Raw genomic sequence first — 16,897 nt, forward strand, 5'->3', positions numbered from 1 at the left:
TATCCTTCTGGAGTTTTAAGTATATATGCCTATATATATTTCCTTTCATTTTTATACAAATAGTAACATACTAAACATTTTTCTATATCTTGTTTTTTTCTCCCTATATCTTTAATGTACCAAACATTTCAACAGCTATTTATTAACTTATTTTTTATTTCAAATTTAATTTTGGAAAAGAGAATACATTACTAGGTTCAAGGAAGAATAGAAAAATATTTGAAAAGTATAAACAGTTACCCATTCTTACCTGCCCAGCTCCCCCTCCTCTGTTCTAACCCTCAAACAGGTAACGACTATTAATGTTTTTTGTGTATTTTTACAGGATTTCTTTGTGTATCAGCATGCAAATATGAATGTACATTCTTTTTTCTTTTACAGGAATATTACACATTTGTGCCTTGCTTTTGTCACTTAATAATTTGTTACTTATATTAATAATTTGTAGTGTATCAAAATGTGTATGCAACAGATTTATAAACATAAGATTATAAATACTCCAAAAATACTCATTTGGTTAGAAACAAAATATTAATGTCACAGCAACAGTAAATTTATTTCTACATTTTATTGCAGGCTGTACTCTAAAGGCCTGTTGAGGTTAATCAGAACCTAAAAATGCTAGTAACATTTTTTTGTCTGGTACATGCTGAAAAAAAGCTACACAGTTCTACTTATTTCACTTTTTCCTTTGTTTCAGGGCTGTATCTTGTGGTTTTTATGCCATCCAGTTCTTGCATGCATTTCTGTCATTTTTAGCGACTACCAAAGAGACAAGGTAAGAAATATACATGATCAAAGTAGTTTTCTTAATGAAAATATTGTCTTAATTGGGAGAATATTTAAATAGGAGGGACCTATTTATTTTTTAAGACATTTTCTGGGTTATTTAAAACTTTGAAACAAAATAGTAAACCAATAAGCAGATAAATTTGAAGTTTAAAATATTTTTAAAATATTTATAAGCAAAATGGTGGAAATAGCTTTTCTTGATTGTACTACAATAGATAATTTTAAAATAGAAATTTTGTTTTATAAATTAGAGAATTTATAATACATCTTTTAAAAAATGATTAAAATTTTTCTTACATAATAGCAAAAATCAAGATTTGTAAAAATCAGTCTAGTTATTGAACAGACTACAAACCAGAGTGCCATGCTCAAGTATGATGCATTTTGATTGTGTTGATACCTACCTTCTTAGGTGAATGGCTCCATCATTTCAAAATAGAGGTCTGCCAGGAGCCCTTTACAAGCAATGCAGTATGTGCCTGAATGCACAAATGTTTATTGAGCCTGAGGTGTTTACAAAGGGTGAATAGATAGGACAGTAGTCTACAAAAATAGAGAAGCAACTTGAGAATTTTTGAAAGGGCTTTTAGAGTACTCTTTAAAGTTCAGGTAGGAGCGTGCTTTATTCCTGTTCCTAAATTAGCTAGGAACCTGATTTTTCTTATTTACTGAAACTTGTCTGTAGTGCATACCCTTAGGAGAGAATGGTTTAGCAAGTTATTCTTTTGTGCCTTACTTTGTCATCTACAAAATAACTGTTAAAGGGATTTTTATCCTTAAACAATTAGAGTTCTGAGCATTAGTCAGAAAATTTTTTTGATAAAATGTACCTATGGTAAAGATGAAAGATAGAGTATTGTATTTATATAAAAAGCATATATAGATTCATAATAAATTGAATATTATTTCTCTATTTCTGCATGTAGTAAAAGCATTCCTTTCCTTTTCTTTTCAGGTTATTACAATAGGTGTTATCCTTTGCCAGTCTGTTTCCATGGTTATTCTCTACAGACTCTTTCTGTCTCACAGTCTATACTGGGAAGTTTCTTCACTTTCTTCAGTAACACTACCACTGACCATATCATCTGGACACAAAAGTCGCCCTCATTTCTGATACTTGATTTTTGTTGAGAGGAAAAGTGAATTGGTTAAAAGAGTGCAATAAGGATCCAAATACAGTGACTTTTTTTTCATACATTTAGTATGAAAACTTGAACAGCGAAAGCAGAGCATGTTATTTATATAACTGCATTTAAGCAGTACCAAGACTGAAAAAAAAGGTAATAAATGAAATGTTTTGAAATATACTTAAACAACAAACTTTGAAGAAAGTGTTGTTATAAAATTATTGAAGCGATTTCTATGTGGAAATAAATGTGAAAAATAACTATGATATTTTGGTAAAATATTCACCACTTATAATGCCTCATCTTAATAGCTAACTCAGGTTTAATAGTCTTATAAAAAGTAATCAGTTAAATGATTACTTGCTTATAAATATCTAAACTAGTCCAGTTATGAAATCAGTGTAATACATTGATTTTTAAAACTGCTGCTTTTTATGCTTTAAGGAAAATGTATTTCATATTTGAGTTTAAAGGAATTGAAATTACTTCAGGAAATGAATATAAAATAGGTTCACAGTTAAATGAATAAGCTTTTGTTTATTTGTGGGTGGAGTTATTCTCCAATTTTTTCTGCCATTTTTGGCTCTAGTTCAGGTTTTAGCTTGATTAGCAAAGGTTTTTGACAAACAGTTTATGAAAAAATAAAACTTAAATACATTACACGGGTTGTAAGGACAAAGGATTTTAAAATCTGAGCACTTAGGTGAAGGGACAAGCAGGTTTATGTGTTTAAACAGAAAGAAGGGAAAAGGTACTATGTGATATGGTACTGAAATTTTGATCCCAATAGAATTCATTTCTCTTACGTTGAATCCCCAATCATAATTAAGCCGTATACACAGATTAAATTAACAGAAGCATTTCACATAAATGTTGGTTTCAGTCATCAACTACCCATGAATTCCTGCCCAAGGATACTTAATCAGGATTAAATTTTCTATGAATAATTGAAAAACAAAACACTCACTGGATTTGTTATAATCCGTGTTGGCACTGGATTCTAAGTAGTTGCCATCTTGAATCCTTTGTAATAAAGCCATACTTTTGTGTGTGTGTGTGATGCCCCAGTATTGAGTATGCTAGCTAAAAAATATCAAGTGCCTGATTAAAGAATTGCTAAATGGTTGTCAATACTCGCTGTATAAAATGAGTATTCCCATTAATAGTCACTGATTGGAAATTATTCTGTTGCTGTTTGTCAAGCTGTTCAGGCCTTTTCCTTTTTACTTCTGGCTTATTTTAAAAATATTTTTTATCTATTTACTGTGTGTTTAAGCAAGCAACAGTGCACTGATCTGGTAGTTAAATTTTTTAATTAAATAGTTAAAATAATGTAGTGCAACTTAAAAATATCTATGGCTTTGTTTTTGTTTTTCTTTTGTACCTAGTCTCATTGGAAATGACTAGTATTCTGCCTCATTTTCAGGGCAGAATATGTGTTTGTGACCCAAAATGACAAAGTTACCAAGTTCAACCTGCTCATTAAATCATCTCTCTATTAGTTCTTTGTAAATCACTTAGTACATTAGAGCTACAGGTTAAGACTAGAAAGTCTGAGTTATGTTTTAGGTATACATGATCGTCTGAGTGGTCATAACCTTTTCTTTTATCATGTCTCGCTAATAACCCCAGCTATTGTCTGTTGTGTTCAGCTGAGATGCAAAAAAGAAATTAAGCAAAAAAGAAAAAGATGAAGACTTTTCATGAATTTTGTGAACTTGCCAAAAGGGGAAGGGAAAAATCTTTGTGTTACTTCACTCAAAGAACATAAGTAACTGCAATTAACATATATGAAATTTATTACTCTGCTTGCATTTATGAAACTAACCAGTTTTTTAAACTTTAATTCTTAAATTTATGGTTGGAAATGCTGATAATTTATTTTGTTATTTAAGAGCTGTTGTTAAGTGGAGGAAAGTAGTTGTTAATAAATGTATAAAACTGTTCTTGACTAGTAATCAGGGACAAAATTTATAGTTCATAAGTCATGACACAGTATTCGCTCTTTTTCTGAATGTTTACATAGAGATTCATCACTGCAGATTACAGAAAGTTAAGTGTATACTACAAACTCTAATTAAAGATAAAAATCTTTTCTACTTTTCTTTGTCAGATAATGCTTTTTTATGTGTTTTTACATTTTTTGAAAGAAGATAAATGGTTCATCCAGAGCTTTATTAAGAAGCATTTCTTTTCTTCCCTTAAAAAATAGATGCTTATTTTTATTGACATGTGTATAATAAGATGGGTGCCTACTGTGATGCATTTTACCAGGCATTTTACCTTCATTATTACTCATCTCTATTGTGATAACCAGGCTCCCATTTAACTGAGTATAAGAGAGAATAAATGATTTCTCTAAGGTCATCAAACTATTTAGTTTTTCCACTTTACCTTCATGATTTAAGGAACATGTATTAGCTGTGTTTTAGTGAGAATGAATTGCTATCCATCATAATTTTTGCTGTTGATTTGAACATTAAAACTGGAATTGTGCTAAAATCAGAACATGCGCTTGAATATCTGTAAGACCTCAGCACACTTCAGTATTTGAACCTGGCTTTTAACCAGACAGTATTACTAGCAGGAGAGTTAATCTAGGCAGAAGAGCTTGCTTTAGGGTAATTATTTATTATCTCCAGTAAAGTCACATCTGATGAACATAGGAGATACACAAATCTGAGATCATCTCTAAAATAATGAGACTAGAACCTATCTATCAACATGAACATGGGCTCCTTCAGCATGTTTCTTCTAGGAGACTGCACGTTCTTTGGAATTTGGAAATTTGGAATTATCTGTGAAACATTTTCTTAAATAGCTTCTGTGGTATCAAATCATTGAGGTTGTTTTTTGTTTGTTTTGAGAATTGATATGATTGTTAGAAGTAGCCAGATACGAAGAGGTAATACTGTTTTTTATTCCAACATGTATTTGTGAATTGAGACTAAAATAATGAGATTGGTTTTCCTCTGTGATCTGAAAGTAGTGTGGTAGAAGCACCGTAGCTTGATTTCTTGCAATAGCTCTCTAAGTAATATTACCATGTCCACACTTGGGCAGCCTTCTGCACAGCTCCAGGGGCATCATATGTGTTGTGCTGTAGGAGTGCCATGAAGCCTGGAGGTGAGGAAAGAAGTGATCCTGCCCACTAGGGCCATTCTCCACAGTGTAGCCAAAACAATCTCTTAAAAATGGAAATCATCTGGATGATGAGCATACAGAAATTCTTTGTGCTAATCTTGTAATTTTTTTGTAAGTTTGAAATTATTTCAAAAAGTTTAAAAATCATATAAATCAGATCAAACTACTACTTCCCTGACAAAAACCCTCCATGTGCCTCTCATTGCACTTAGGAAAAGAAGTCCTCACTCATTACTATGTTCTGCAAGGCCCATATGATCTGGTTATCTCTTAATTTGTACCACTCTCTCACACACATATCCCAGCCTCATTGTCCTTCATCAAAAAAAGATCTAGCTTATATCACACCCTCAGATACTTGGCACTAGCCATCTTCTCTGCCTGGGACATTCTCTTCCAAATCTTAGCATGGTTGGAAGGCTGAATCCTCATCCTTCAGGTTCTCAGCTGAGATGTCTTTTAGAGAACTCACCATCTGTGGTGGATTTATATGGTGCAGTTTAGTCAACCTGGAGATAGGTTCTGCAGAATTCTCTTCCATGCATAATTTCAGGACAATGTAGGCCATAAGAAATGTTTGATACAAGATATAGAAGGCAGAAGTAAAGTAGCAGCCAGATCTGCATTCTTTTTGTAAGAGGAAGGGCCAGACAAGGCACAAGGCACAAGGCACTGTTGCAGCTTATCCACATTATTGCTTATCTGTTGGCTTCTCTTGGCCTGTGGGACAACAGCCAGGCCCACAGGAACACCAGTTCCTGCCGGAATGGCTCCTTCAGCTTCTCTGGCTCCTGGGCCAGGTGTGCGTTTTACTCTGACAAAGGGTGCCAGCTTCTGCTGGACAACTCCATCATTCACACTGGAGGATTAGAGGCAGGGAGAGACCTGTATGGCTTCCAGTCCATCCTCACAAGTTCCACTCAGTTCCCACAGGTTCTACTCATCCTAGCAAGTTCCTTGCTTCCCCCATTTCCCATGTCTTCCCTTTCCAACTGCCAGACACAAAAGAAACCGCCTCCTATAATCCCTATAATAAGCCCCTTATTTTGAATATTAAGATATGTGTATGTGTATTAGATCCTAGTGGTTCTTTTCTGATCAGACCCTGATTAACCATACCATCCTACCTAATGCTATTCCCCCATCCTAGTTCTATCATATTATCCCTTTTTTTGTTTGTTGTACTTAGCTGGTTTATCTTTGTCATCTCTCAAATTAGAATATAAATTTTAAGTGAGTTTGTCTCTATTGTTCATTGCTGTATGCCTAATACTAGGACACTCCCTGGTGCATACTAGATGCTCAAAAATATTTTTGAGTGAATGAAGGCAATGCTGAAAAAGTTCCAAATCTGTACTTAACAGTGTAGTATTAATTATGTAATAGAAGTACCCGTAGTGACTTCAATAATACCTTGCCTATTCTTTGTTCAATTGCATGGAACTTGGTAGTGTGTAAAAATCTTGACTAGTCAAGTAGTTGTCATAAAACATCAGTTACGAGAGGATTTCTCAAATTCTCACAGAGGCAGTTTCTCTTTATTTTATGTAGTCCTGTAATAGGACCATGTGTCTGGTTTCTGGCCTGCCACAACCAGAAGCACCAATTTAAAAGAGAAGTTTCTAGTCAGCTAGAGGAGGGAATGTTGACAGTAGTCAGAAGCAGCTGGGAAAAGATGGGAAAACTAGAAATGACAATAACACTCAAATTGCAGCAGCCTGGGGTCATTTAGTGTAGGTGAAAGCAGCCCTGTGTTGTGTATCTCAGTAGACTCTTAAGAGATTTGTTGTTCAATGTATTCATGACAGTGACTGATGGTAATCAAGAAAATATTAAGTTATAAGTTATGTTCAGTAGCCTCAAAGAAGTATGCGAAAACCTTCTAATGTTTTCTTCTTGTTAAACAGGTAATATATGCACATTGTACAAAAATCAGAAAGTTGAAAAAGGTGGGGAAAAGAAGTCCTTCTCTCACTCATTTCCCTTCCCTGAATCCAAACTCTGTTACCAGTTATCTTTCTAGAAATGGCCCCATGCACATATAAACATATATGAAACACAAATTATAGCATAACATACAGACTTTTGCACATTCAGCAATTTATTCTGTAGCCTTACCTAGAATTGTCCCATTTTTTTCACCAATTGCATAGAACTCCATTATATGGATGTATTTTGATTTTTTCAAAGAATCAGTTCTGTTACTGCACGTTGTTGGTTTTCAGTCTTGCTAATACAGACAAGGCTGAAATTAAGACAGTAATCAAGAATTTGCCAAGACTTCCTTCCCTCCTCCCAAAATGCCTCCACTCCAGGTTCCAGGTCTAGATCCTTGGGATTTTCTAGGTGATGGAAGTATCTTTGTTATTCATAGTGAGCTCTGATAGTTACGCTAACCAGATGACTCAAATAGGGGCTAGCCACACCAGAAGACCAACCATTGGATTAGAGGGTTGGAGTTTTGAGTCATATGATATTAGCCCAACCTCTGAGGTGGAGAGAGGGGTTAGAGATGGAGTTCAGCTTTATATAGAGATTGAGTCAATTAATCATGCCTGTCATGAAACCCCGAGAGAAACTCTGGTCAGTGATGCTCAAGTGAACTTCCCTGGTTGGCAATACTCTGGTGTGTTCTAGGAGGGTGACATGTCCCTGAGGGCACAGAAACTTTGTGTTTGGGATCCTCTTACACCTTGCTCTATGTATGTCTTCTTTTGGCTGTTCTGATTTGTATCCTTTTGCTATAATAAACTGTAATAGTACGCATAGCACTTTGCTGAGTTCTGTGAGTTGTTCTATTTAATTATAGAACCTGAAGGTATTGTGGGGACCCCTGAACTTGCAGCCAGTTGGTCAGAAGTAAGGATGGTCCTGGGAATGCCCAAAGTTGCTAGTTTCTGAAGTGAGGGCAGTCATATGGAGGACTGGGCCCTTAATCTGTGAAGTTTGGCTTAACTTCAGGCAGTTGGTGTCAGAAGCCATTGCAAATATCCTGATGATCCGTGCAAAACAAAAACACTTAACAGAAAATTACGTTGTACTCTCTGTACGGATAATTTTCGGTTAAGTGTTTTTGTTTTCCATGGATTGTACTAGATATCAATCTGATAAATAACTTTTATTCATTATAGTTTTAATTTGCATTTCTCTTATTAATTTTTGTTTTAAAACCATTTTCTTTCCAGTTCTACGATCTGTTAACATATTTTTCCCACTTTTCTATTGGGTTGGTTGTCTTTTTCTTATTGATTTGTTAAAACTCTTTATAACAGAAATTGGTCATTTGTGATATGAGTCTGAACTGTGTTTCTCAATTTGTGATTTTTCTCTTTACTTTTTTAATGGTGTCTTTTTCTTGTAGTTTTTTTAATGCAGGTGGAATTATCAGTCTTTCATTTTTTTCTTCTGTGTTCTACCTGTTTCACAGGTAGAAAAGCCTTAGCTCTTTGAGATTATGTTTAAATGCCCTGTATTTTCATCTAGTGGTTTTATGGTTTTATTTTGTATGTTTTTTTCATCCACCTGGAATTTATTTTGCTGTTAAAATATGAATTAGAGATCCAACTTAATTTTTTTCAGATGGTTGTTGACTTATTGCAATATCATGTGTTATATAATCCATCTTTACTGATTCGTTGCTAATTGGTTTCTGGACTTTTAAGGCTATCTGATGAACTGTTGATCTGGTACCACACTGTTTCAATTATTGTAGTCTTAAAATTGCTGTACGCTTTGGTAGGGATAATTTTCTGTTAAGTGTTTTTGTTTTTTATAATTTTCCAATTAGTCTTGCTCATTTTTTATATAAACTTTGAAATCAATTTTTCTGATTTTCAAAAGAAAAAAAATCCTGTTTAGTATTCTTAGTGGAATGAATTAAATTTCCATAGCAATTTAGGGAAATTTGACTTTCTTAACGTGTTGAGTGTTAAACCCACAGGTGGTAGCATGACATTGACTCCTCAGCCAAGCATATTATCAACTGTCGGAAACTAGGTTTTCCCATAGTGATCCAAGAAACTAGTACGAAATGCCTTTCTGATTTTTTAAAACTTGTATACATATATAGTACATATTATATATACTTATATATTAAGTAATCAGAAGTATGTGTTTCTCAATCACCTTTTAAAGACTTCTTTATATAGCTCTTGTACATTTCTTGATATGAATATGTTAATGTTTTCTTTCATTATGTTGCATATGGCTTTTGTTTTCTGCATGAAAACTATTGATTTCTGCATTCTAATTTTGTTCCCAGTCACCTAACTGAATTCTTCTAACAGTTGTAATAAATTTCTGGTTGGCTCTCTTGTGTTTTCTAGGTAAACAACCGTATTGTCTGCAAATAATCATTATTTTTGTCTTTTCTATTCAATTTTTTACCTCTAATTGTTGCTCCTTCAACTTAAAAATGAAAACTCCAAAGCAAGCAAAAACAAGGAAATAATAAAGAGCAGGTATCAATGAATTTGATTATGGAAAAACTATAGAGAAAAATTAACAAAACCAAAAGCTCATTCTTTGAAAAGATTAGTAAAAGTTACAAGCCTCTAGCAAGACTGACAAAAGAAAAAAGACACAAATTACTAATATCAGGAATAAAAGGAGATACCAGACTGCAGACATTAACGGAACAGTAAGAAAATAGTACAAACAAACAAACAAAAAAACATTCTCTACTAACATAAATATGGCAATTTAGATGAAATAACCAATTCTCTGAAGACTATATGGCAAGAACTATAAAAGGTCTGAGATTTTACATACTTACAAGCTAACTAACCTGTTACAGCAAGCACCATGAGCTTCATGTTGGTTTACCTTGGTTATACATATATCTGAAGTTTATGGAGGCAATACAGGCAGGACTACATGAATATTCCACATGCAGTGGATTTGTGTTGCACCCAAGGAACACTGAACCTAGACAGTTTATCTTCTTTATAACTGGCTCTTTGTCAAGGGGGAAACATTTCCTCATCCTGCTCACTATATACACAACCTTGAGACATGGCCTAGATAAAGAGTAGTTAGAGCCTCGTGTTCTTGGTCTCCCCATTAGGAACATGCAGGGATGCAAAAGGATGGTGGACTGCCTCTCCCAACATCGCAAACTACCAAAACCCACTCAAGAAATAAATATCCAAAATAGTCCTATAACTATCAAAGGAATTGAATTCTTATTTAAACAACTTTTGAAATAGAAATCTCTAGTCCCAGATGGTTTCATGGGTAAATTCCACCAAACATTTAAAGAAATAACACTGATTCTACACAATCTATTCCAGAAAAATAGAAGAGGTGGGAGAGAAAGGTGCAAAGGCAAGTTTGTGAAGAAAGGAATGCTTTTGATGCTTTTGCAACAAATGATGTTGAAACTAATGGACATCCATATGCAAAATAAATGAACCTCAACCTAATTCTCTCACCTTGTATTAGTGTGTTTTCACACTGCTGATAAAGATACCCGAGACTGGGTAATTTATAATGAAAAAGAGGGGTGTGTGTGTGTGTGTGTGTGTGTGTATGTGTTTGAGATGGATTCTTGCTCTGTCGCCCAGGCTGGAGTGCAATGCCATGATCTTGGGTCACTGCAACCTCCGCCTCCCGGGTTCAAGTGATTCTCCTGCCTCAGGCTCCCAAGTAGCTGGGACTACAGGCCAGTGCCACCATGCCCAACTAATTTTTGTATTTTTAGTAGAGATAGGGTTTCACCATGTTGGCCAGGTTAGTCTCGATCTCTTGACTTCGTGATCTGCCCGCCTTGGCCTCCCAAAGTGCTGGGATTACAGGCATTAGCCACTGTGCCTGGCCAGTGAAAAAGAGGTTTAACGGACTTACAGTTCCATGTGGCTGGGGAGGCCTCACGATCATGGCAGAAGGCAAAAGGCATGTCTTACATGGCAGCAGATGGGAGAATGAGAGCGAAGTGAAAGGGGATTCCCCTTATAAAACCGTCAGCTCTTGTGAGACCTATTCACTACCAGGAGGATAGTATAAGGGAAACCACCTCATGATTCAGTTATCTCCCACTGGGTCCCTCCCACAACGTGGGAATTATGGGAGCTACAATTCAAGATGAGATTTTGGTGGGGACACAGCCAAATCATATCACACCTCATACAAATATTAAAAGGAATCATAGATCTAAATGTAAAACATAAAACTAGAAAACTTTTAGAACACAGGAGAAAATCTTTATGATGAGGTTATGCAAAGAATTCTTAGACACCTAAAACATAATCCACAGAAGATAAAAAATGGCAAATTTGATTTCAAAATGAAAAACTTTTGTTCTGCAAAAGACACTGTCAAGAGAATGAATAGACAGGCAATAGTCTGGGAGAATATTTGTAAATATGATAAAGTTTAATAAAGGATTCCATATAAAGAATGTATTAAAAACTCTTAAAACTCTACAGTGAGAAAGCAACCCAATTAAAAAATGAGCCAAAATCTTGAACAGACATTTCACCAAAGAATAAATATACAGCTAGCAAATTAACACATGAGAAGATGTTCACTATAATTAGTCATTAGGGAAATGCAAATTAAAAGGTTGGAGAGATACTACTACACATCTATTAAAATAGCTAAAATAAAAATACTGAAATTACCAAGTCCTGGAAAGGATGTGGAGCAGCTGGAACTCTCCTACATTGCTTGTGGGAATGCAAAATAGGAGAGCCATTCTGAAAAACAGTTTTGCAGTTTCTTATAAAGTTAAATTACCATATGACCCAGCAATTCCACTCCTTGGTATTAACCCTAGAGAAATGAATGGCTCATACAAAAACCTGTGCATACTGTTTATAGCAGCTCCATTCATAATTATAAAAAACAACGACCCAGATGTCCTGAATTGATAAAGTATGATGTATCCCTACAAAGGAATATTATTAGTAATAAAAGGAAACTTGATTCACACAACTTGTATGAGAATCAAAGGCCTTATGTTGGATGAAAGAAGCTAGTCTTAAAAAGTTACATGTTATTGTATGATTCAACTTAGATGGCATTCTCATATAGACAAAGCTACAGTAATGGGGAAAACATCAGTGGTTGCCAGGAATTACAGGTAAGGACAGGGTATGATTACAAAGGGGTAACACCAAGGAGTTTTGAGGGAGGTGATGGAACTCTTCTTTATCTTGACTGTGTAGTGGTTATCTCAGTCTAGATGTATGTTAAAATTCAAAGAATTGTATATTAAAGAAGTCAATTTTACTGTATCATGATTTTTTTAATTGTACTTTAAGTTCTAGGGTACATGTGCACAGTGTGCGGGTTTGTTACATATGTGTACATGTGCCATGTTGGTGTGCTGCACCCATTAACTCGTCATTTACATTAGATATATCTCCTAATGCTATCCCTCTCCCCTCCCCCTACCTCACGACAGGTCTCGGTGTGTGATGTTCCCCTTTCTGTGTCCAAGTGTTCTCATTGTTCAATTTCCACCTATGAGTGAGAACATGCGGTGTTTGGTTTTCTGTCCTTGAGGCAGTTTGCTGAGAATGATGGTTTCCAGCTTCATCCATGTCCCTATGAAGGACACAAACTCATCCTTTTTTATGGCTGCATAGTATTCCATGGTGTATATGTGCCACATTTTCTTAATCCAATCTATCATTGATGGACATTTGGGTTGGTTCCAAGTCTTTGCTATTGTGAATAGTGCTGTAATAAACATGTGTGCATGTGTCTTTATATCAGCATGATTTATAATCCTTTGGGCATATACCCAGTAATGGGATGGCTGGGTCAAATGGTATTTCTAGTTCTAGATCCTTGAGGATTCGCCACACTGTCTTCCACAATGGTTGAACTAGTTTACAGTCCCACCAACGGTGTAAAAGTGTTCCTATTTCTCCACATCCTCTCCAGCACCTGTTGTTTCCTGACTTTTTAATGATCACCATTCTAAATGGTGTGAGATGGAGTCTCATTGTGGTTTTGGTTTGCATTTCTCTGATGGCCAGTGATGATGAGCATTTTTTCATGTGGCTTTTCGCTGCATAAATGTCCTTTTGAGAAGTGTCTGTTCATATCCTTTGCCCACTTTTTGATGGGGTTGTTTTATTTTTTCTTGTAAATTTGTTTAAGTTCTTTGTAGATTCTGGATATTAGTCCTTTGTCAGATGGTAGATTGCAAAAATGTTCTCCCATTCTATAGGTTGCCTGTTCACTCTGATGGTAGTTTCTTTTGCTCTCAGAAGCTCTTTAGTTTAATTAGATCCCATTTGTCAATTTTGGCTTTTGTTGCCATTGCTTTTGGTGTTTTAGACATGAAGTCCTTGCCCATGCCTATGTCCTGAATGGTATTGCCTAGGTTTTCTTTTAGGGTTTTTATGGTTTTAGGTCTTACATTTAAGTCTTTAATCCATCTTGAATTAATTTTTGTATAAGGTGTAAGGTAGGGATCCAGTTTCAGCTTTCTACATATGGCTAGCCAGTTTTCCCAGCACCATTTATTAAATAGGGAATCCTTTCCCCATTTCTTGTTTTTGTCAGGTTTGTCAAAGATCAGATGGTTGTAGATGTGTGGTATTATTTCTGAGGCCTCTGTTCTGTTCCATTGGTCTATATCTCTGTTTTGGTACCAGTACCATGCTGTTTTGGTTACTGTAGCCTTGTAGTATAGTTTGAAGTCAGGTAGCATGATGCCTCCAGCTTTGTTCTTTTGGCTTAGGATTGTCTTGGCATTGTGGGCTCTTTTTTGGTTCCATATGAACTTTAAAGTAGTTTTTTCCAATTCTGTGAAGAAAGTCATTGGTAGCTTGATGGGGATGGCATTGAATCTATAAATTACCTTGGGCAGTATGGCCATTTTCCCAATATTGATTCTTCCTATCCATGAACATGGAATATTCTTCCATTTGTTTGTGTCCTCTTTTATTTTGTTCAGCAGTGGTTTGTAGTTCTCCTTGAAGAGGTCCTTCACATCCCTTGTAAGTTGGATTCCTAGGTATTTTATTCTCTTTGAAGCAATTGTGAATGGGAGTTCACTCATGATTTTTTTAAATAAAATAAAAAATGAATGTTGTTTAATGCCTTTTCATCATCCAAGAATATGATGATATAATTATTCTCTTTTGTTCTATCAACATGGTGAGCAGCAGTAATAGATTTCCTGATGTAGAACCATCATTCAATACATTTTGGAAAGTTTTATCATCCCAAACTGATGAGATTTTTTTAAAAAAACGGCCAGACACGCTGGCTCTCACCTGTAATCCCAGCACTTTGGGAGGCCGAGGCGGGTGGATCACTTGATGTCAGGGGTTCAAAACCAGCCTGGCCAACATGGTGAAACCCCGTCTCTACTAAAAATACAAAAATTAGCTGGGCATGGTGGCATGTGGCTGTAATTCCAGTTACTGGGGAGGCTGAGGCAGGAAAATCACTCGAACCCAGGAGGCAGAGGTTGCAGTGAGCCGTGATCATGCCACTGCACTCCTGCCTGGGCGGCAGAGCAAGACTCCGTTTCAAAAAAAAAAAAAAAATCCGGATACTTAATATGGTATAATCTCTAGCAGTATGAAGAATGAGAACATTCAGATTCACTCTCGAGTCATATCTGTTTGCTTTGAAAAGTCTATTTAAAATCAGCTCTTTTTTTTTTGTTTTTTTTTTTTTTTTTGAGACAGTCTTGCTCCGTTGCCCAGGCTGGAGTGCAGCGGCACAATCTCAGCTCACTGCAACTTCTGCCTCCCGGTTTCAAGCAATTCTCCTGCTTCAGCCTCCCGAGTAGCTGGGATTATAGGCTCCCGCCACCACGCCCTGCTAATTTTTGTAGTTTTAGTAGAGACGGGGTTTCACCATGTTGGCCAGGCTGGTCTCAAATTCTCGACCTCAAGTGATCCACCCACCTCAGCCTCCCGAAGTGCTGGGATTACAGGCGTGAGCCACCACACCTGGCAAGTTGTACTGTTTGAATTTTTGCTTTATACATCACTTATATTTCAGATTTATTGCCACTAGGTGCTGTAAAATATGGCTGGTTAGGTATAAAAGATGTTGAAACCTTTCACAATTAGAAGGTATTATGATATACTGGAAAAGAGCATGGCCTTTGTGGCAAGACAGACCTGAATTCAAATCTTGGCTGTGCCATTTTTCAACAATTTTCTTATTTGTAATCTGTTTCAGAGCAAACAGTCATTCTTTTAGTACAGGAAAAGGTCCTACAAGATAGAGTGAGAAGTGGCCAGATCTGAGAGATGAGTTCTGATATTAGGAGCTCATGGAATTGTTGTAAAGATTATGTATGGTGCTTGTTCCCACTCAGTGCAATGCTCATTGTTTATAGACCTGAAGGTTTTGTGTAAAATTTTCAGCGAGCCTGATGTTCTTCCTAATCTGTCTGTTCGTGGAGATAATATTTAAATGTGCATGAGATGAAATGTTTGTTTTAAATAATCATACATATGTGGTTAGAACAGAAAGTTAGGTGTGTTTGGGATATGTTCAAGATTCTAATTCACACATGACTGCATTCCAACTTACTCCCACACAAAATAAACTTTTAAATCTCTTGCCTAGCCTGTGAGCCTTATAGATCTTTCAGAAGATTAGTTTTTAAGACTTACTCAGAAGTCAATGTTTGTAAAAGGCTTTTTTTTTTTTTTTTTTTTTTTTTGGCGAGGGGGCCAGGGTAAGTAAGAGACAGATTGTTTCAGTGCAAAGTGGTTTCTTTCTGGGTACACCACAGATTGATCTAACTTATGTTCCTCGTCAAATTAGTAGACTATGTTTTATTTCATTTTGTAAAGACAGCAGCTTTTGTGGAAATAAATGATACCTGGTAGTTGTTAAATTTTAATATTTCCAAACTAACAAGGCTTTTAAATCCCTGTGAATTCTATCTTTGATTGTTCTTCAAAGAATGTAGAGTGGTTCATAGAGTTAACCTGAGAATTCAAGATGGAAAACATTCCTGGCAGAGGAAGGTTGGGTTTTAAACACATAGCAAAAATTACAGATTATGGCTTCTATCTAGATTTTAAGGTCATAGGTCTTTCACCTTTTAAAATATGAATTCCCTTCTAGAGAGCAACATTTCCTGCCAGCTCTTCAGCTTCCAGGAACCCCTCTCTCAGATCCAGCCACTCCTCACTCTATCCAGTGAGAACTCTTCAGTGTGCTAAAAGAATCACTGTTTGCTCCAAACCAGATGTTTCCCTCCAGGGCTCTGCTTTAAGTCGGTAAGGCAATATTTCCTGCCCTTTGTCTTCTCCGTATTTTTCATACTTCTCCTCTTTATCATAATGTTGTTTTAGTTTTTCTGATTCTTGATGATACACCACTGTCAGCTCAAGCTTATGCTGAATTTCAACAGCTGTGACATGTCTAAACTGCATTATCTCGAAAACATTGGCTCTAGTGAAAACTAGAAAGGAGCCAAATTAATAAAACAAAACATTTCAAAGGGTTCCTATGGATACATCCTGAAACTAGGAAGTACATACTGAGTTGAGTTGACTCACTCAGCCTGTAATAGCCTCTTCTACACTGCTGCAGCATTTGTGTACACACTGTATAATACATGCTTCAGGAGAATTGGAGCATCTGATGATTGCAATCACATCACTAAAGGTGCACCTTGTTGCCTATGAAATCCATTCTTAAATGGGTTATTGTGTTTGAAGTGATTTATTACAATCTTTAGAGATAAAATATAAATACCATACTAGGGGTGTGGAAACCAAGGTACAAAATGATATGTTTTATGTAGAGGAGTAATCAGAAAATAATGAGTATGCATTCTAATAAGGGTAAAGTCACTAGAGCAGATTGAAAAGACTTCCTTTTATTGCAAGTTGAACCTG

At 35.8% G+C, this 16,897-nt stretch overlaps 1 protein-coding gene across 1 annotated transcript in view; it reads left to right on the forward strand.

Annotated features, from left to right (window-relative positions):
* The window catches only part of GPR180 (G protein-coupled receptor 180), a 32,805-nt gene extending 23,409 nt beyond the window's left edge, over positions 1-9,396 (forward strand). The window contains exons 8-9 of the mRNA NM_180989.6: positions 701-778; positions 1,748-9,396. Coding sequence (NP_851320.1) covers positions 701-778; positions 1,748-1,906 — 237 coding nt within the window. The 3' untranslated portion in view covers positions 1,907-9,396. The remainder of the gene's footprint in view (positions 1-700; positions 779-1,747) is intronic.
* Positions 9,397-16,897: the final 7,501 nt, after the last annotated feature.

This window comes from Homo sapiens, chromosome 13 (assembly GCF_000001405.40).
Source record: "Homo sapiens chromosome 13, GRCh38.p14 Primary Assembly".
NCBI lineage: Eukaryota > Metazoa > Chordata > Mammalia > Primates > Hominidae > Homo > Homo sapiens.